The sequence below is a fragment of the Homo sapiens genome, chromosome 17 (assembly GCF_000001405.40).
Source record: "Homo sapiens chromosome 17, GRCh38.p14 Primary Assembly".
Lineage (NCBI taxonomy): Eukaryota > Metazoa > Chordata > Mammalia > Primates > Hominidae > Homo > Homo sapiens.
The window spans coordinates 48,394,479-48,416,836 of NC_000017.11; the positions used below are offsets into that span (position 1 = coordinate 48,394,479).

At 38.8% G+C, this 22,358-nt stretch overlaps 1 protein-coding gene across 9 annotated transcripts in view, besides 2 other annotated features; it reads right to left on the reverse strand.

Moving 5' to 3' along the window:
- The window catches only part of SKAP1 (src kinase associated phosphoprotein 1), a 311,620-nt gene that overhangs the window by 261,037 nt on the left and 28,225 nt on the right, over window positions 1-22,358 (reverse strand). For all 9 annotated transcript variants that reach the window (XM_005257755.5, NM_001075099.2, NM_003726.4 and 6 more), the window contains exon 2: window positions 2,202-2,307. In XM_005257755.5, the coding sequence (XP_005257812.1) occupies window positions 2,202-2,307 (106 nt within the window). The remainder of the gene's footprint in view (window positions 1-2,201; window positions 2,308-22,358) is intronic.
- Window positions 19,174-19,253: an enhancer, noted in NCBI's record as "active region_12329". NCBI's record gives its function as "activates an Ori minimal core promoter by ATAC-STARR-seq in GM12878 lymphoblastoid cells {active_cell/tissue: GM12878}" and the evidence as "EXISTENCE:reporter gene assay evidence [ECO:0000049][PMID:35858748]".
- Window positions 19,304-19,473: an enhancer, noted in NCBI's record as "active region_12330". NCBI's record gives its function as "activates an Ori minimal core promoter by ATAC-STARR-seq in GM12878 lymphoblastoid cells {active_cell/tissue: GM12878}" and the evidence as "EXISTENCE:reporter gene assay evidence [ECO:0000049][PMID:35858748]".

Genomic DNA, 22,358 nt, shown 5'->3' on the forward strand with positions numbered 1-22,358 from the left:
CCACAGGCATATACCACCACACCTGGCTAACTTTTTATTTTTTGTAGAGAGAGAGTTTTGTTATGTTGCCCAGGCTGGTCTCAAACTCCTGGCCTCAAGCGATCTTCTGGCCTCAGCCTCCCAAAGTGCTGGGATTATAGGAGTAAGCCACTGCGTTTAGCCTGCCATACATGTTTAACTCTCAAGTTTGATGACTTCTAAATTTCTTTTTATGCCAAGCTTTTTGGGGGACATATAACTGCCACACAACATAAGTAAATGTGGCAGCTATAAATGGCACAATAGAGGTGATATGGCTGAAGAAGAGGATTCAGGAAAACAAGGGTTACATTAACAGAATGATGATTGAATGGGTGGATGTAAGGCAATTTCAAACAGCTTGCCAAAGGAAAGCCTCGTTTTTCTATTTTCTTGTACAGTATCTAATTTCTGGCTCCTCATTTCCTCAGTGATCTGATAATTATGAAATTCTAAATAAAGTGTCATCTTTCTTGCAACAAGTCAATGAACAGAAAGCTCCCATCAACAATGCAGATATTTCCTAAAGTTCCCGCTGATGATTTCCTGAATGTCTACCCCACAAACCACACACAAAGTTCTTTGAGAACAAGAATTTGAGAACAAGAAACTGACTCTATCCCATGACAAATTCAGCTTGCGTGTGTGTTCATGCATGTGTGTGCATGTGTGTATGTATTTTAAAAGAGGATTAAGAAGTATAATAATATGCAGCTGACAGTAATGAGTTACCGTAATTTGCCTTTTATTACCAACTTAAGATTGAAATTTAGTCCTTTCTCAATGCTGTGGTACAAATACAGGAAAGAATTCCTCCTCATTGTGTATTTGTACCCACAGCTGCAGTAAAAGTATTTTTGCATTCCTTATCAGAGATTTATACCAACAGAATCACCAAATACACCATTATATTTAGGGCATTCCTCTCCCAATTTAAAATAATTCCACCTTTATTCCGCAAGCCACCCTTAGAGTAATCATAAAATACAAAGGCAAACTTGTGAAATTAAAAAAAACTATAGGTTACTAAGTCTCCAGGTATGTAACTAAGCCTAAACTTATCTATTAATAAAATAACATTATGGAGAACTTTGTTTTAAACACTCTTTCAACCTACCAAAAATTATAGATATTCCCACTTTTTCAAAAAACTCCCATCTTTTGCATTCTGTTTGTTTCAATTATTCAGGGCAACCCAGGCTGATAATTACACAGTCCCCAGTTGCTGAGTAAAAGTGATGCTTAATTAGCCAGCAGGAAAGATCGATTAAGATCCAGCAGGGCATCTCATGAGGTTCTCTCACATTCCTGAATGGAATAGATTCTGGCTGTGCCCTTCCGAAGGATAAAATTCTCTGCTTCTATGGAGTTTCAATGAGGTTTTTAGAGCAGATACTAAGAACTGTCAGCCACGCAAATTAAATCCCAACCATAACCCTGCAGATGCTCTTCCTTTTCTAAGAATATTCAGTTTAAACATTCTGAATCACATTGCCACCAGGTTTGAAAAGGCTAAAGGAACACTCACTTATCCCTTGTTCTCATTCAGTTACCCATTTCAAGCAATAGGTGGTCAGAAAATATATTATAAAGGAAAATTTTTATTTTTTCCCCAAGCAAGTGTTTGCATCTCTCAGATGCTCACATTCTAAAATGCACAAATTACATCAGGGCCTCTTATTTTTAAAAAATGACATAATATTTCAACCCAGTCCAGGAATAAAACATCCCAATGTAGTCAAAGAATCAACTTGATAAGTCTCATTTAAGTTTTCTATGAGGTAAGGAGATGTGGAAGTAAAATCAGTACCAAAAATCATAATGAACATTATCTCATACTGCCTAACACTTTCTCGTTAATAATTTGGACAAGCATAAATGTTTAGCTTTCACCATTTTTTTAGTTAAATGCAAAAGTGGTCAATAAAGGCTAACATAAAAATCCAAAGCTAAAAGCAGAATAATTACCTCAAGATACATACATAATTATCAAAACATTTTTATTTTGGTAAACTACACTAACTATGCTTGCCTGCCTCCAGTTCAATTCAGTAAATATTTATTAAGTTTCTGCCAAGTATAAAGAACTATGATAGGTATGTCTTACCTTGTGACTTTATTTTACTGATTATAAATTGTTTTAAAGCTTATGAAGAAGATTAATGGAACCAGTTTATACAAACCTGGCTTTGATTTGCTGAAAGCCCCGTAGAATATGGTCTCTGTGATCCCTTGCAACAGCGCTGAGGTTCTCATTCCGCAAACCTTCTGCCAGAAACTCTTCAGCATCTAAAAGAAAAGGAAAGTTGATAAAACAGAAAAGATGTACTAAGGGAGAAAGGAAAATCAGAAGGATTAAGAAATGGCACATGTATACATATGTAACTAACCTGCACAATGTGCACATGTACCCTAAAACTTAAAGTATAATAAAAAAAAAAAAACTTTATAGTTGTGGCACAATGTGAATGTGCTTAATGCCACAGAACTGTATACTTTATAATAGTTAAGATGGTAAAATTTATATTTTGTATATGTTACCAGAATAAATAATAACTAAAATTTTATATATACCTGTAGGTAACATGTTCTAATAATCCAAGACCTTGCTATGAATTTAGAAAACTATGACATATATTAGCCATAAGAAATAACTATTTTCTAAATCATTTTAAGTAAACATTTACATATTAATTATTACTGATGGCAGAGAATGGACTGTAAATTTCTTTCTTTCTTTTAGGGGGGGGATGGAGTCTCACTCTGTTGCCCAGGTTGGAGTGCAGTGGCGTCATCTTGGCTCACTGCAACCTTCACCTCCCAAGTTCAAGTGATTCTCCTGCTTCAGCCTCCTGAGTAGCTGGGACTACAGGCGCATGCCGCCAAGCCCGGCTAATTTTTCGTATTTTAGTAGAGATGGGTTTTCATCATGTTGCCCAGGCTGGTTTCGAACTCCTGAGCTCAGACAATCAGCCTGCCTCGGCCTCCCCAACTGCTGGGATTACAGGCGTGAGCCACCGCGCCCGGCCTGGACTGTCAATTTCATAAACATGTAATATTATAAATAAGTCACAGAAGGTCACAGGCCAATAGAAGCTAGAAAGAAATACCAATAAATAGAGCCGAAATAAAAAATAGAGCTGAACTGCAAAAATCAAGAACAAAAGGGCAGGCATTCAAAGAAATATTAATTAGCAGATGCATCATCAATGAAAATGACAATACAACCAAGTGAAGGAACCCACATGAGAAAGACAAATGTCTCCAAGAGAAGGGAACTGCAATTAATGTGAACATATATTATAAAATAGGGACATGATAGAAATACATAATATGAAACAAATCATGTTATGTTGAAGGAAGAAATTGCAGAGGGGGGGTGGTTCTACAAATTTTCAAAGACAAAATACATTGATAATGATTACAACTGCCAGAAACACTGGCTACACATTTTATTCTGCACAAAAGGTTTGTCATCCCCCAAAAGCGTATAAATAATATAGTTAAAATTTTCCACCTCCAAAAATTGTGCGTGTAATATGAAACTGTATCATATATATCAGGAGTCCCCAACCCCTGGGCCACACACAGGAACCTTTATTTCCTCAGTGATCTGATAATTATGAAATTTTAAAGAAAGGGCCACATGGCAGGAGGTGAGCAGCAGATGAGCAAGTGAAGCTTCATCTGTATTTACAGCTGGTCCCCATCACTTGCATTACCACCTGAGCTCCAGCTCCTGTCAGATCAGTGGCAGCATTAGATCCTTATAGGAGCACAAACCCTATTGTGAACTGTGTATGTGAGGGATCTAGGTTGTGTGCTCCTTATGAGAATTAATGCCTGACGATCTGTCACTGACTCCTGTCACTCCCAGATGGGACCATCTAGTTGCAGAAAAACAAGCTCAAGCCTCCCACTGATTCTACATTATGGTGAGTTGTATAATTTTTTCATTATATATTACAATGTAATCATAATAGAAATAAAGTGCATAATAAATCTAATGCTCTTTAATCATCGCCAAACCATCCCCCCACCCCCGGTCCATGGAAAAATTGTCTTCCATGAAACCAGTCCCCAGTGCCAAAAAGGTTGGGGACCCCTGATACATACTATCAAAATATTGCTATGAATTTATATAGTTGGATAAGCACACCTAAAAATTTGTTTTATATTCACGTCATTTAACAACGCCAGGCCGGGCGTGGTGGCTCACGCCTGTAATCTCAGCACTTTGGGAGGCCAAGGCGGGTGGCTCACGCCTGTAATCCCAGCACTTTGGGAGGCCAAGGCGGGCGGATCATGAGGTCAGGAGATTGAGACCATCCTGGCCAACATGGTGAAACCCCCCGTCTCTCTAAAAATACAAAAATTAGCTGGGCATGCTGGCACACCCCTGTAGACCCAGCTACTTGGGAGGCTGAGGCAGGAGAATCACTTGAACCAGGGAGTTGGAGGTTGCAGTGAGCTGAGATTGCATCACTGCACTACAGCCTGGAGACAGAGCAAGACTCCGTCTCAAAAAGAAACAAACAAACAAACAAAAAAAACCACCAAACAAAAAATCCTAAATAGCCATCGCTAGGACTTTTGATGAGATACAAAGTCCTGGAAATTGAATATTTCACAAAGGACCACCATCAACATCCAAGCTCTGCATTGTATCTATTGCATATGTGATTTAATGGGTTCCACTAGGGTCCTTTGAATGCTAACGAATGAGGAAATGGGAAGCTGAATTAAAAGGCAAAAATAAATGACATCTAAGATTCAATTTATGTAATATATCATAACAATAGAATAAAGGAAAAAAACCACATGATCATCTCACTAGACACAGAAGAAGCATTTAACAAAAGTCAACAGCCTTTCGTGATAAAAATTCTCAACAAACTAGGAATAGAAGGAAGCTTCCTCAAACTAATAAAAAGCATCAACACAAACCCACAGCTAACATTGTACTTAATGATTAAAGACTGGCCAGTCATGGTGGCTCGTGCCTGTAATCCCAACCTTTTGGGAGGCCGAGGCAAGAGGATCACTTAAGGGCAGAAGTTTTGAGACTAGCCTAGATGATATAGAGAGATTCCATCTCTACAAAAGATAATTTTTAAAAAATTGGCTGGGCATTGTGGTGCATGCCTGTAGTCCTAGCTACTCAAGAGGTTCAAGTGGGAGGATCACTTGAGCCTGGAAGGTTGAGGCTGCAGTGAGCCATGACTGTGCCACTCCAGCCTGGGTGGCAGAGCAAGACTCTTGTCTCAAAAAAAAAAAAAAATTAAAAAGAAAATAAATGGTCAAAGACTGAACACTTTCCCCACGTTCCTTAGATCAGGAATAAGATAAGGATGTCTGTTCTCACCACTTATACTGAACATTGTACAGGTGATGCCAGCCAGGACAACTAAGCAAGAAAATGAAATAAAAAGCATTCAAACTGGAAAGGAAGAAGTAAAACTATTTCTATTTGCAGATGACATCCTGTATATGGAACACCCTAAGGAATCTATTAAAAAACTATTAAAACTAATAAAAGAGTTCAGCAACTTTGCAGGATATAAGATCAATGTAAAAAAATCAACTGTATTTCTTTTTTCTTTTCTTTTTTTTTTTTTTTGAGACGGAGTCTCACTCTGCCTCCCAGGCTGGAGTGTAGTGGCGCGATCTCAGCTCACTGCAACCTCTGGCTCCTGGGTTCAAGCAATTCTCTTGCCTCAGCCTCCTGAGTAGCTGGGACTACAGGCACGCACCACCACACCTGGCTAATTTTTGTATTTTTAGTAGAGACAGGGTTTCTCCTCGTTAGCTAGGCTGGTCTCAAACTCCTGACCTCAGGTGATCCACCCGCCTGGGCCTCCCAAAGTGCTGGGATTACAGGTGTGAGCCACCACGCCCAGCCAATCAACTGTATTTCTATATAGTGGCAATGAACAAACAAAAAGGACATTAATAAAATTCCATTTAAGATAGCATGTAGGATGGGCATGGTGGTCCATGCTTGGGATTATTCTCAGCACTTCGGGAGGCCAAGGCGGGCAGATCATTTGAGCCCAGGAGTTGGTCAACATGATGAAACCCCGCCTCTACAAAAAATACAAAAATTAGCCAGGCATGGTGGTGCACATCTGTGGTCCCAGCTGCTCAGGAGGCTAAGGTGGCCTCATTTGAGCCCAGGGAGGTTGAGGCTGCAGTGAGCTGAGATCACATCACTGCACTCCAGGCTGGGTGACAGAGCAAGACCTTATCTCAAAAATAAAAATTAAAAAAAAAGAAAAGAAATAAAGCAGGTAAAAGAATTAAGAATTAAGCACTTACGAATAAATAGAACATATTCTATGTTCATGATCAGAAGACTTAATATCGTTAAAATGGCAATACTCCCCAAACTGATCTAAAGCTTTTATGTAACCCCTATCAAAATCCCAGCTGGCTTTTTTTGTAGAAATTGAAAAGCTAATCCTAAAATTAACTTGGAAATGTAAGGAATCCAGATAGCCAAAACAATTTTGAAAAAGAGAGACAATGGCCGGGCGTGTTGGCTCACACTCGTAATCCCAGCACTTTGGGAGGCTGAGACGGGTGGATCACCTGAGGTCAGGAGTTCAAGACCAGACTGGTCAACACGGAGAAACCCTGTCTCTACTAAAAATACAAAAATTAGCTGAGTGTGGTGGCTAGTGCCTGTAATCCCAGCCACTTGGGAGGCTGAGGCAGAATAATTGTTTGAACCTGGGAGGCCGAGGTTGCAGTGAGCCGAGATCATGCCACTGCACTCCAACCTAGGCAACAGAGCAAGACTCTGTCTCAAAAAAGAAAAAAAAAAGGAAAGAAAAAGAAAGACAAATTTGGAGGACTCACACTTTCTGACTTCAAAACTTACCACAAAACTACAGCAATTAGGAAAATATGGTACTGGCATAAGGACAGAGATAAAGTTCAAAGGAATAGAATTGGGAATCCAGAAATAAACCCTCACACTTATGGTCAATTTTTGCAAGAGGGTCAAGACAATTAAATGTTGAAAAAGTTGTTTTTTCAACAAATGGTGCTGAGACAACTGAGTATACACATGCAAAAGAATGAAGTTGGATTCCTACCTCACACCATATAAAAAAATTAACTAAAAATGGATCAAAGACCTAAATATAAGAGCTAAAACTATGAAACTCTTAGAAAAAGACAGGTGTAAATCTTTGGGTCCTTGGATTAGGTAATGGTTTCTTAGATATGACACCAAGAAAAAAAAAGCAACCAAATACAAAAATAGACAAACAAGGCATCATCAAATTTAAAAGCTATTGTGCTTCAAAGAAGGCCAACAAGAAAGCAAAAGGATAACCCACAGAATGAGAGAAAAGCTTTTGCAAATCATATAGCTGATGAAAGACTTGTATGTAGAATATATTAAAACTCTTATATTTCAGTAATAATAAGACAAATAGCCCAACTGAAAAATGAGAAAAGGAACTGAATAGACATATCTCTAAAGAAGATACACAAATGACCAATAAGCACATTAAAAGATGTTCAATATCACTAGCCATCAGGGAAATGCAAATCAAAATCATGAAATACCACTTCACACCCACTAGAATGGTTACAGGCGAAAAGAACAACAATGAATGTTGTTGAAAATGTAGAAAAATTGGAAACCTTATACATTGCTGGTAGGAATGTAAAACAGTGCAGCCACTTAGAAAAATAATCTAGCAGTTCCTCAAAAGGCTAAACAGAGAATTATCATAGGATCCAGAAATTATATTACTAGGAAATACCCAAAAGAAATGAAAACAGGTGCTGACACAAAAACTTTACACAAATATTCATAGCAGCATTTTTTTTTTTTTTGAGACAGAGTCTCGCTCTATTGCCCAGGCTGGAGGGCAGTGGTGCGATCTCAGCTCACTGCAACCTCTGCCTCCCGGATTCAAGTGATTCTCGTGCCTCAGCCCCCCAAGTAGCTGGGATTACAGGTGCATGCCACCATGCTGGGTTAATTTTTGTATTTTTAGTAGAGATGGGGTTTCATCACTTCGCCCAGGCTGGTCTTGAACTCCTAGACTCAAGCAAACTGCCTGCCTTGGCTTCCCAAATTGCTGGGATTACAGGCGTGAGCCACCATGCCTGGCATAGCAGCATTATTCTTAATAGCTAAAAAGTGGAAACAACCCAAATATCCATTAACTGATGAATGGATAGATAAAATGTAGCATACAATGGAATATTATTCAGCAATAAAAGGAAATGAAATGCTGATATGTGCTACAACATGGATGAATCTTTAAAATCATTATGCTAAGTGAAAGGAGCCAGTCACAAAGGACCACATATCGTATGATTCCATTTACATGAAATGTATAGAATAGGCAGATCTAAAGAGACAGAAAGTAGATAAAGAAAGTCAGGAAGAGGGATTGGAGAGTGAAGGCTAAGAGGTTCAGGTTTTCTTTCGGTGTAATGAAAATGTTCTAAAATTTACTGTGGTGATAGTTACACAATTCTGTGAATATACTAGAAGCCATTGAGTTGTATGCTTTAAATGTGTGAGTTGTATAGTATGTGAATTATATCTCAATGAAGCTGTTTAAAAAAATAAATAAATACCTGTAATCTCAGCATTTTGGGAAGCCAAGGTAGGAGAACTGCTTGAGCCCAGGAGTTCAAGACAAGCCTGGGCAAAAATCAAGACCCTGTCTCTACAAAAAAAAAAAAAAAAAGTTTTTAATTAACTGGACATGGTGGTGCACGCCTGTAGCTACTTGGGAGGCTGAGACAGTAGGATCCATTGAGCCCAGGAGTTCAAGGTTGCAGAGAGCGGTGATTAACCCACTGCATTCCAGCTGGGTGACAGTGCAAGACTCTGTCTCAAAATACTATATTGAATATTTTTTATTACATTTACACTTTGAAAATCATAGTTAAAATATATATACATATATATATATGTATCAGTGTGTGTGTGTGTATAAATAACAACACCTACACATATCCTTTTGAGCTTTCAAAATTTCAAGGAAAGTGAAAACATCTCTCAAGCACCCAGAGAGAAAAAATAAGACACCTACAGAACAACAGCAACAAGAACAACAAAATCAAAATGGCCTTGCTACAAAATAAGCATCAGAAGATGAGACGTGTACAAAGTTTTAAAGGAAAAATGGTGTGCTCTAAGAATTCCAAGCATAGTCAAGATGTTGGTTTGGCCATATAGAAGGAGAAAATCTTCTGAAGTATATGTTCTGATCCACAAAGAGAAAGAGGTGGTGATAAATGTCAAACTGCAAAACAAGTTAAATCTAGATCACAGCCGGGCACAGTGGGTAACGCCTGTAATCCCAGCACTTTGGGAGGCAGAGGCGGGCAGACCACTTGAGGTCAGGAGTTTGAGACCAGCCTGGCCAATATGGCGAAAACCCATCTCTACTAAAAATATAAAAAAATTAGCCAGGCATGATGGCGGACACCTGTAATCCTTGCTACTTGGGAGGCTGAGGCAGGAGAATCCCTTGAACCTGGGAGGCGGAGAGTGCAGTGAGCTGAGATTGCGCCACTGCACTCCAGCCTGGGAGACAGAGTGAGACTCTGTCTCGGAAAAAAAAAAAAAAAATAGAAATCACTGTGGTCTACATGGTTTAAAATTTATAAAAATATTAATATCAAAAATAATTCTTGGCTGGGTGAGGTGGCTGACACCTGTAATCCCAGCACTTTGGGTGGCCGAGGCGGGCGGATCACCTGAGGTTGGGAGTTCAAGACCAGCCTGACCAACATGGAGAAACCCCATCTCTACTAAAAATACAAAATTAGCCGGGCGTAGTGGCACATGCCTGTAATCCCAGCTACTCCCGAGGCTGAGGCAGGAGAATTGTTGGAACCCAGGAGGTGGAGGTTGCAGTGAGCTAAGATCATGCCATTGCACTCCAGCCTGGGCAAGAAGGGTGAAACTCTATAGAAACAAAACCAAAACAAAAATTCGTATGGCGAGACAATGTAAAAAATGTAAAAATAGTCTAATTCCTAGTTAGAAAATGAATAGAGAGGAAAATATATACTAAATTACACATTTACATAGGGTCAATGGATACTACTTCATCCTTGACAGTGATAATTAAAGACAATGGGTTTAATTATGATTTTTTGAAGTGTAAATGTAATAAAAGTAGAATTAAAGGTTTTTAAAATATTCAATATAATAAAATATAGAAAAAAGAAAAGCAAAATAGCATAAAAGTGGAACTCATAAAATAAGATGACAATAGTGAAAAGTTAGACTTCTGTATTAAAAGCAAAAATTTTTGTACTGTATCAAAAAATTACACAAGTTTAATTACTATTTAAAAGATATCCGAAATAAATGAAGCTGAAAATAAAAGAAGAGAGGTGTACAAAACATCCTAGGCAAAATGATTTTTTAAAAGCAAGAATGGCAATAATTCATATCGAAATAGAATTAAAGAAACTATTATTAAAAGGCCAAAGGTGGTAATTTCATTTGATGTAAAGTACAATCCACAATAGATATGACCTGTTATGTGCTAAGTAACGCACTAAAATACATACAATGAAAACTGTGAGAGAAGCAGAAATTACTAAAAAAAACATTTTAATGTTACTACTAGTCTTGGATAGATGAAGTAGACAAAAATAAATAATGGTTTGGAGTGTGTCCAACAGAAACAGAATGGAAGCTACACATTTCATTTTAAATTTTCTAGTAGCCTCATTTAAAAAGTACTAAAAAGAGGGATGAAATTAACTTTAATAGTATTTATTTTTTATTTAACCAAAAATATCATTTCAATATGTAACCAATATAAAAATTATTCCTGGGCTATTTTGCTTTTTTGGCATACATCCTCAAAACCCAGGGTGCATTTTCTTTTTTTCTCTTTCCTTTCTTTCTTTCTTTCTTTCTTTCTTTCTTTCTTTCTTTCTTTCTTTCTTTCTTTCTTTTCTTTCTTTCTTTCCTTCCTTCCTTCTTTCTTTTCTTTTCTTTCCTTTCTTTCTTTTTTTTTTTTTTGAGACAGAGTTTCACTCTTGTCACCCAGGCTGGAGTCCAATGGCGCTATCTCGGCTCACTGCAACCTCCGCCTCCTGGGTTCAAGTGATTCCCCTATCAGCCTCCTGAGTAGCTGGGATTACAGGTGCCCGCCACCATGCCTGGCTAATGTTTGTATTTTTAGTAGAGATGGGGTTTCACCATGTTGACCAGGCTGGACTTGAACTAACCTCAGGTTATCCGTCCGTCTCGGTTTCCCAAAGTGCTGGGATTACAGGTGTGAGCCACCGTGCCTGGCCCCGAGTGTGCATTTTACACTTATATCTCAGTTCAGACTAGTTACATTTCAAATGCTTAATAGCCACAGACAGAGAATGGCTACTACGATGATCAGTGCAGATATAGAGGATTCAAATAATAGAATTAACAGAAAAGATAACAGAAGTAAGAAGTGAACTAAACTTTGTAACCTAAAAACAGAATACAGGCTGGGCCCAGTGGCTCACACCTGTAATCCCAGCACTTTGGGAGGCCAAGGCGGGTAGATCACGAAGTCAAGAGATCGAGACCATCCTTGCCAACATGGTGAAACCCCATCTCTACTAAAAATACAAAAATTAGTCGGGCGTGGTGGCACACATCTGTAGTCCCAGCCACATGGGAGGCTGAGGCAGGAGAATCGCTTGAACCTGAGAGGCGGAGGTTGCAGTGAGCCGAGATCATGCCACTGCACTCCAGCCTGGCGACAGAGCAAGACTCCGTCTCAAAAAAACAAACAAACAAAAAAACAACAACAAAAGCAGCATACAAACTTTACAAACTACCAAGGAAAATTTATAAATATTGATTAAACACTGAATTACAGGAAAATCAATAATTTCTTAAAAATTTAAAATTAGAAATTTTTTTTTCTTTTTTTTTTTGAGACAGGGTCTTGCCTTGTCACCCAGGCTGGAGTGCAGTGGCACAATCACGGCTCACTGCAGCCTCAACCTCCCGGGCTCAAGTGATTCACCCACCTCAGCCTCCCAAGTAGCCGGGACTAAAGGCTCATGTCTCCCTAATTTATTTATTTATTTATTTTGAGATGGAGTCTAACTTATGTCACCCAGGCTGGAGTGCAGTGGTGCGATCTCGGCTCACTGCAACCTCCGCCTCCCAGGTTCAAGTGATTCTCCTGCCTCAGCCTCCCAAGTAGCTGGGATTAAAGGTGCCCACGACCATGCCTAGCTAATTTTTGCATTTTTAGTAGAGACGAGGTTTCCCCATGTTAGTCAGGCTGGTCTCAAACTCCTGACCTCAAGTGATCCGCCCGCCTCGGCCTCCCAAAGTGCTGGGATTACGGGTGTAAGCCACTGTGCCCAACCAATTTTTAAAAATTTTTTGTAGAGATAGGGTTTCACCATGTTGCCCAGGCTAGTCTTGAACTCCTGGGCTCAAGAGATCCTCCTGCCTCAGCTCCTAAAGTGCTGCAGGCATGAGCCATCGTGTTTGGCCTAGAAAGATCTTATTTTATTACCACAGTGAAATAAAACCAGAACTTGATATTAAAAAGAGTAAACAAACCCCTCTACACTTAAACATTAAAAACACATACTCCTACATATATTATGAGTCAAAGAGAAACTCAAAAATTATAATTACCACTTAGGAGAAAACAGCCTATATAAAATGTTACAAGATATGACCAGCATCATGGAGTGACAAATTCATAGACTTAAATATTTTCGATGTTAAATAAGAAAGAACATAAGTAAATGCAATAAACACCAAACTCAAGAAGTCAGAACAGAACAATAAAACAAGTCTATGGGGAAAAGGAGGAAGGAAACAATAAAGATAAAAGCAGAAATTAGTGTATCAGAACAATGGTTTTCTAACAGTGCTCTCTGGATTCACAAGCCTCTGATAAGAAAGAAAAAGAGTGGGAAATTCCCTTCTCCTCACTCCCCTTTGATTTAATCACAAGTGCTTGGCTTTTATATGCCAGGATTTCACATACGGTTTTATTTTTTTTAAAGAGTTCCATTGTACAACTTAGTGGGTAAAAATCATAAGCCTTAAAAATAGCGGGGAAAGGCCAGGTGCAGTGGCTCACGCCTGTAATCCCAACACTTTAGGAGGCCCAGGCAGGCAAACTGCTTGAGCCCAGGGGTTCGAGACCAGCGTGGGCAACATGATGAAACTCCACAGAAAAATACAAAAATTAGCCAGGCATGGTGGCGCATGTCTGTAGTCCCAGCTACTTTGAAGGCTGAGGCAAGAGGATTGCTTGAGCCCAGGAGATGAAGGCTTCAGTGAGCTGAGATCATGCCACTGCATTCCAGCATGGGCAACAGAGTGAGACTTTGTCTCCAAAAAAAAAAAAGGCAGGGGAGGAATATATAAATGCTACATAAGTGTAAGTGTAAGAGCTGGAATTTTTCAGAGGGGGGGGAATCCAGTAAATGATAAACCATTAGTAAATGCAATCAAGAAGAAGGAGAGAAAGCACAAATATACAAAAATTAGGCAGAGTAAAAAGGAGCAAAAACAAAATTTTTAGAAAGATCATGAAATACTTTACAAAAGTGGTAAGAGTTCAAGTGCTTTTAATTTCTTTCTTTGTACTTTTATATATAATTTAAGTTTTGTGATAACAAGAATCATTTTATCTCTTTAAAAAGATATTTTGAAAAATAAAGTGCCATGTAAACAAAATAAAACACCAGGCAAATAAATTTGAAAATCTCAATGAAAAGTTGCTGAGAAAAATATAAATTTCTAAAACTAAATTGAGAAATGAAAAACCTGAATTCTGAATAAGCTAATAAGCAGGGGGAAAGAAAGTTGCCGAAATGTTTTTTATTTATTAAGTTCAAGTTTAGATAGTTTTATACATGTCTTTCAAACCTTTGAGTAATAAATAATTCTCATTCTATATAAACTATCCCAGAGCATACAAAAAGAGGAAAAGTTCAAATATTTGGTAAAAGCTACCATAACCCTAGTTCTAAAAGCACAGAAAGCAATCAGTTTAAGGTTAGTAGAGAGACAAAAGTCCTATATAAAATACTAGTAAATCAAACTTAGTAATACATTAAAATATTAATGTAAAGCTTATATTGGGAATGTAAAGATGTTTCAATACTATTGTTTCATTGTATATTTCTTTAATAGGTTAAAAAATCTAAAAAATTTCCTGATAAATGGCAAAAATGTCATCTAATGGTATTTATATCTACTAGTGACAAAACTGTAGTAAAACAGAAGTATTCCCCAATGCCAAAACTTTATGACTAAGATACTAAGGAAAGAAACTGTAGACCAATATACAATACATTTGCCCTTCAATTTAGAAAATGGTGCTACTCACAGTGAATGTGATCTGCAGGTGCCTGAGCAACTTCACTGCTGTACTTCACTACTCACTACTGAACAGCAAAGAGACTTAACAAGTTCCCTCGATAGGTCACCTCTCTATTTAACCAAGCTCCCCATCAACCTGATGGGTTTTCCACTAAGTGACCAACCTTTTTAAAATAAAATCTTTCCTAACATATACATCAGATCATGTCACATCAGGATAGGCTGAGCTACCTATGGGGTAGATACTGCTGTTCCATTTTCTGGGTAAAGAAACTTGCTCCCAGGTTACACACCTAGCAAGTGGTGCAACCAAGATAGTCTTACCATAAGATCCAGCAGTCATACTCTTAAGTATTTATCCAATTAAGCTAAAAATTTATGTCCACACAAAAATCTGCAAGTGAATGTTCATAACACATTTTCTCATAATTGCCAAAGAGTGGAAGCAACCAAAATGTCCCTCAATAGGTGAATAGATAAACAAACTGTGACACCTCCATACCCTGGAATATTATTCAGCATTAAAAAGAACTCTCAGCTGGGTATGGTGGCTCACGCCTACAATCCCAGCACTTTGGGAGGCCGAGGCGGGCAAATCACTTGTGCCCAGGAGTTCAAGACCAGCCTGGGCATCATGGTGAAACCCTGTCTCTACCAAAAATACAAAAAAGAATTAGCTGGGCATGGTGGCACGTACCTGTAGTCCCAGCTACTAGGGAGGCTGAGGTGGAAGAATTGCTTGAACAGGGAGGCATAGGTTGCAGTGAGCCGAGATTGTGCCACTGCACTCCAGCCTGGGTGATAGAGCAAGATCCTGTCTCAAAAAAAAAAAAAAAAAAAGGAATGAACTCTCAAGCTAGAAAAAGATAGAGTTCAGGAGTGGGCGAGGGATAAACAGGTAAGGCATAAGGGATTTTTAGGGTAGTGAAATTATACCGTATCATACTATAATGGCAGATACATGACATCATGCATTTGTTGAAACCTATAGAACTTTAAAACACAGAGTGAGCCTTAATGCCTGCAAATTTCAAGAAGTCATTTAGGAGGTTAGGAGATTTCAAGAAAGAATGTAAACTGTAACAACGTAATCTAACTGTATTACAAATCTAAGAAATAAATTCACTGAAGGGGAAAGGGAAAAGGCGCTGACCTAAGTAGCTTTGGAAATGAGCAGAATTTGCAAGACTACAGGCAAAAGGAACTGAACATAAACACTGAACTCTAGTCAATAAAGTTGTTTGCCATGGGTGTATGGGTTAACAATTCTTATACCGCTATACATGTTTACTGTAATTGAACAATTAAGTAAATGGATGATGAATGGTGGGTGCCAGGTTTCTCACTGTTGGAGTGGAAAGGAGGGGAAAAGGTAGCAAGAATAGCAAGGCGAAGAGTCTAGAATGATCCATGTGGTAATGAATTAGAATTGGAGACATCAGTAAGAGCCCATGTTTCACTTTACACAGATACAGTTGGTTATATATAGAAACATATAAATCAGGTTATTATTAATACATACACGTGTATTTCCTTGCTTTGTCAGCTAAGAGGACCTAAAAGAAATGACATCACAGTAACAAGGAGCATACCTAGCACAAACATCTTGATTTCTAGTACCAATCTTCAATAAAAGGAACCTAGGCTCCTTAGAAAATGGCTGATTCTAGGACTGGGGAAGGAAATATATAAGATGAGCCTAAAGGATCTTGTAGTGTCAGAAAGTAAGGAAGTGCTGAAAACACACACACACACAAGCACACAGACACTGATGGGACATGTCAAAAGGGGCGCAGGAGGTCGGGCGTAGTGGCTCACATCTGTAATCACAGCACTTTGGGAGGCCAAGGTGGGCGGATCACTTGAGGTGAGGAGTTTGAAACCAGCTTGGCCAACATGGTGAAACCTGGTCTCTACTAAAAATACAAAAATTAGTGGGGTGTGGTGGCAGGCACCTGTAATCCCAGCTACTTGGGAGGCTGAGGCACAAGAATCGCTTGAACCCAGGAGGTGGAGGTTGCAGTGAGCCAAGATCACACCACTGCACTTTAGCCTGGGTGACAGAGCGACAGAGCGAGACTCCATTTCAAAAAAAAAAAAAAAAAAAAAAAGAAAGGGGCACAGGAACCAACTGAAAGAGCTCCCAGTGGCCAAAACTGGAACAATTTCCACAACAAAATAAAGTAATATTGGATTATAACCCAAAGTATAAAATAAGTATGCACGATTCCATACTTATATCAATAAATGGTTGAATAGATAAATAAGTGAGGCCGGGCACGGTGGCTTGTGCCTGTAATCCCAGTACTTTGGGAAGCTGAGACGGGCAGATCACTTGAGGTCAGGAGTTTGAGACCAGTCTGGCCAACATGGCGAAACCCCATCTCTACCAAAAATACAAAAATTCACTGGGTGTGCTGGTGCCTACCTGTAATCCCAGATACTCGAGAGGCTGAGGCAGGAGAATTGTTTGAACCCAGAGGCAGAGGTTGCAGTGAGCCGACATCACGCCACTGCACACCAGCCTGGGTGGTAGAGCCAGATTCCATCTCAAATAAATAAATAAATAAATAAATAAATAAATAAATAAATGGGAGACAAGAGATGAATCTCCAGTGCAGAAGAATTTCAAATAATTTATGTACTACTCCACTCTAAAGTGGGGGAGCATAACTCCCACTCCTTAAGTGTGGGGTGCACATAGCAACTGTCTTCCAAAGAGTATGGAAAGGATGAATAAGAAGTCACCTTACAATAGAGAAACCTGACAAACATCATATCAGCCAGGTGATCAAAGTCAACATTAACAGTCATAATCATGCTGATAGCACGTACACTTGACATGATGGGACGAAAATAGCACTTTTCCTCTGTGATCTTCCTCCTCAAAACCCATAACCCTAGTCTAGTTATGAGAAAAAGACCAGACAAATTTTAATATAGGGGCATTCTACAATATACCTCACCAGTACTCCTCAAAACTGTCAAGGTCCTCAAAAACAAGAAAGGTCTGGGAAACTGTTACAGCAAGAGGCGCCCAAGGAGCCTAAACTAAACGAGGTATCCTGGATGGGATCCTGGAACAGTAAAAGAACATTAGGCAAAAACTAAAGAAAACTGAATGAAATGTGGATTTTAGTTAAGAATGTATCTGTTCTGGTTCATTAAGTGTAACAGAAGTACAATACTAATCTGAAATGCTCACAATAAGGGAAACTGGAGGAGAAAGGAGGAATAGGGGAACTCTGTACTATCTGCTTAATTTTTCTATAAATCTGAAACTGTTCTAAAAATATAAAGCCTATTAATTTAAAAAGTGGCATATGGTATAATCTTAATGTTTTGCAAATAAAAAAAAGATAGGGTTCAATTCATTCATTAACCTGATCTTTACTGAGTCCTTCCTTTGTGCCAGTCAGGCACTGTGATAAATAACAGAACATTAACAATGGCCATCTCTGGGTAGTGAATTGCTGCCATTTTCATCATCTTCTTTATATTCTCTATATTTCTAAATGTTCTAAATATATGTGTTTTGGAATCAGAAAAAAATAAGTAAAATAATCATTATGCAAGCATGAGGTAATATTACTCACAAATTGGATAGACTTTAATTTTTGGTCCTCATCTTCATTTCACTCAGTAGTAGTGCGATCAGCTCAAGTCGTTGTGAAAAAGGAAAGGAAGCCCCCTGGTCAGAGATCAAATGGGGAATAAAGAAGATCCTACAGGAGGTGGAGTGTTAAAGTATATACTTTATTCCTGTAGATGATTAATACTATACCTATATATAATTTTGAACATCAACTCTTCTTACTAAATTCATTTTCCTCCAGCTTTCTTGAGTAATAACTGACAAATATCCTTACTAAATTATAAGTAAAATAGCCTATGTAATTATAGTTGTGCATACTAAAATTGTTAAAAAATAATTAACATGATATAATTATCCCCCAATGATGTCACTAAGGACAAGCTGTTTTTATTATGATTTTACTTTTCAAGTTTGCTCCATATTAATTTTTAAAAGACTTCCTTTCAAAACACTTTAGGAGGTCACATGTTAATTTAAGTACTTGTTTCTTTACCTGCACTACTCAGGGGAATAAAAGTTCACAAAGATAACTTCTTCCATCTGTCTCATCCAGCTTTTTAAAAAAATCTGCTCTAAAAATACGCCCACACACTTACTAGATGAATAAGCATATAACCAAAAAAAAAAACCATAAAGAAGTAAAAAGCAAGGTCTACATGAGAGATCATATCTCTAGTATTATATGTGCTTTCCAATTCATTTTATGAAGCCAGTATAACTCTGATACCAAAACTTGATGAAGACCTAGGAAAGGAAACTTCAGACCAGTATATAAAACATTTGCTTTTCAGGGCTGGGCGCAGTAGCTCACGCCTGTAATCCCAGCACTTTGGGAGGCTGAGGTGGGTGGATCTCCTGAGGTCAGGAGTTTGAGACCAGCCTGACCAACATGGAGAAACCCTGTCTCCACTAAAAATACAAAATTAGCCAGGCATGGTGGCACATGCCTGTAATCCCAGCTACCAGAAAGGCTAAGGCAGGAGAACTGCTTGAACCTGGGAGGTGGAGGTTGCAGTAAGCCAAGATCGTGCCATTGCACTCCAGCCTAGGCAATAAGAGCAAAACTCCGTCTCAAAAAAAAAATATATATATATATATATATTTGCTCTTCAATGTAAAAGATGATGCCACTCACAGTGATTACAACCCATAACCCAAAGAGGCCCCTCAGAACACACTACTCACCACTGAACAGGGAAGAGATTTTAAAAGATCTCTCAATATATTACCTCCTTTATTTAACCAAGGTCATTATTCTATCTGGTGGGTTTTCTATGAAGTGATCAACCTTTTACAAACAAGAGCTCTTCTAATATAAACATCATGTGCAGTCACATCTGAATGCCTTGAGCTTCCTGTAAGTGTAACACCCAGTGTGAAAAGCACCACTAACTGCATAAGAACATCCCCCAGATGCTTCTAACATCGCAGCATTCACTCTATGTAGGACCTGATGCTACAGAGTCTTCCCACAGTTACCTTTAACTAGGGAGTGAACAATACCGCATGGTGTAAATGTCCTCAGACCAAAGAGAAAAGGCAAAAATCAAAAACAACCATAAACAATGCTACATTGTCTAAATGCATTTATTCTTCAAGAAATATTTGTTGAATGCTTATCACAGGCTAAGCACAAAAAGTAAACGAAATAGATCTAATCTCTACCTTAACTAAGAGTTTACAGTCTAGCAAAGAATATAGACTTAAATAGACAATCAGAATAAATTGTGACAACAAAGGAAGTTATGGGTGTACAGGCCCATAGTAGAGGCACCTAGTCTCGAGGGGAAGGTAAATCACGGAAGGCCTCTCAGAGAACTCATCTTTCACCTGAAACCCCCAAAATTAGCAGGCCAAGAATGTGTACTGGGGGAAAGGTGGGAAGTTGGTGAGATGAGGAAAAGAATGGCCCAGGCATGGGAACATCATATGCAGAGGTCCAGAGGTGAGAGATCACAGTTTAGTTGGAGAGACAAAAAATTTCAAATTGGAGGGCAGAACACAGAGGTCAGGAGAAGGGTGGTGAAAGATTAATATGGAGGGCAAGCTTGTAGCAATATACAGTATTTTATACTAAAAGTAATACAAAATCATTTGAAGTCGCATATTTAAAACTTAAACACAGCTCTGACAAAAATGCATCTTTCTGTTATAATTCATAGCTGCCCTAAAACGAAAATTCTCTCAGCTTCCAGGTAGCTTATAGGTATCTATGTCAGCAAGTCAGGGTAGGAAAAGCAAACAGGAAAAGATGACTGAAGGACAAGGGAAAAGAGGGTATTTGCAACACTAGAGGCATGATATGATTATCACACCCCAGCGAAAAACTGCTGTAGAATTTGAAGGCCAGCTGAAAAGATTCTGAGTTGGCAAGATGCACCCAAGAGCACTAGGTTTTGTAGACTGGTGAAAGTTTCTTACATTCTCCCAAATTCTCTCATCTTGTACATTCACAAAGCTGCTCTTCTGTTTATTTAGAGGAGAATGACATCTTATGGGTCATATTTTTCAAACTACTAAAAGATTAAGGTTGCCTCCTGTTTTCTAAGTAATGCTCCTAGTACACTAAAAGCAAAAAATATTTGTCTGTGTTCCCTAACAGTTGCAAGGGTTTTTGTTGATATATGTTTCTAAAACTCAAAAGTTCACTTCAATCAACCTTTTATTTGGAGGCAGGATGAATGGCCAAATGCTGTTGAAAACAACTCCACCGACCAAATACCAATCAAAGTGTTCCTAGAGGGGAAATTTCGTAAAAGTATTTGAACTACTAAAGCAGAACTCACATTTCCAAAAAGAAAAATGGCATAAATTTCTGCCTATTCTAGCATTACACTCAAGAAAATACTTGAGGTTTTTGTCTATGGGGAAAAGGGTTAGCACCACCCTTTGGCAAAAAAAAATTAAAAAATAAAAAAAAGTCTCAAGTACTGGCAAATACTCTTCACATGTGAATGCTTGTCCTCACTGGGCATAATTACAGAAATGTCCATTCTCTCTCTTTGTTGGTGATTTTATTCTCGTTTTACTTCATCAGCCCCCTGCATACTTCTGCCATCATCCCTCGTCCCATCCCCTAACCCCTCTCCTCTTTTCATAGCCCTCTAAGCCTGTTGGTTGGCAGTCACACTCTCAACAGAAAGATAGAGTTGGAGGTGGGAGTGCAGGAGAGGGAAAGAAGGGAGAGACATAAGAAGAAATTCTGTTCTCCCTTCCCTTTCGGCCCTTCCACTGGTTCTCACCTCCTCCCTACGTGGGGCCCCATTCCTGCCCTCATTCTGTCCCCTTAGATGGTCTCTTCCCTAATCCTCAGAACCCGAACCTGGCTCCCATCAGCTCCTCACTCCTGCCCAGCCCTGCTCAATGGAGTCATTCCCCAGTCACAAGTACCAGCATCAGAGAGCTTGGAGTTGGAGAGGAGGGGGATAAAGAGTGCACTCCCCCAACTAACAAGAGGAAGCAAGTAGAAGGGGGAGATATTCAGCAGAGAAGGAGTTTTCAGAAGCCCAAGTTGGAAGGTGAGCCCCCATCAAAATATTGTCTATAGTCCTCTTCTCTAGGTATAATACTTGAAAAGTAGTTTTTAAAAAATAGGTTGGCCTGCAAATCAGCCTAAAAACACGGTCCTTTTTCCCATAAAAACATTGCTTCTATAAGAAAATATCTAAGTGAACATTGGAAAATAATCTATGTATTGACTTTTAAAAAATTGTAGGAGCAGGATGCTATTTCAGCCTCATCTTCTCTTAAATTTTCAATGATACCTGTATTTTTTTTTCTAGTTATAAGGAAAATGTTTCCTTTATCTTGCAGACACTTCACTCTGAATACTTTGAAGCAGTTAAAACCTAAAAGACCAGACATCACCCCTCCCAGTTGGAGATGGGACCCTGGGTGGAAAAGGGTAGAGGGATAGAAAAGGTTTGTTGGGTTTGTGGAGGAGAAGAGGAAAGGAGAACAAGCAAAGGAGGGACTCCCAGGGGTCCATCCCAGGGCTCTCCTTGTACTGGTGGTGGTGGGCAGGGACTAAAAATCTGTTTGTGTTATCCCCAGGACTTCCATGAGTGAACTACTAACAGTAAGACAATCTTTCCAAAAATAATGGGCTATGCCTAACCACCTTGTCATGTCTAGCCAACCATGCCTGCCACACCAAAACAATCTCCACCTTGGAAACAGTAGAAAACCATATTTCATTCTAGGGTATCTGAGTATTCTATACATTTAATTAAATGTCACAAGTATCTCGTTAAGTTACATATTGCTATTTTATGGAAGAAAGCAACCTAGTTGGTAATCCCACTTGTATAAAGTCTCATTGACAGCTTCTGGTAGAAACAAAAATAATAATTCCCAATTCCCTGTCACAGGTACACTGAAGTTATCAGACCATTA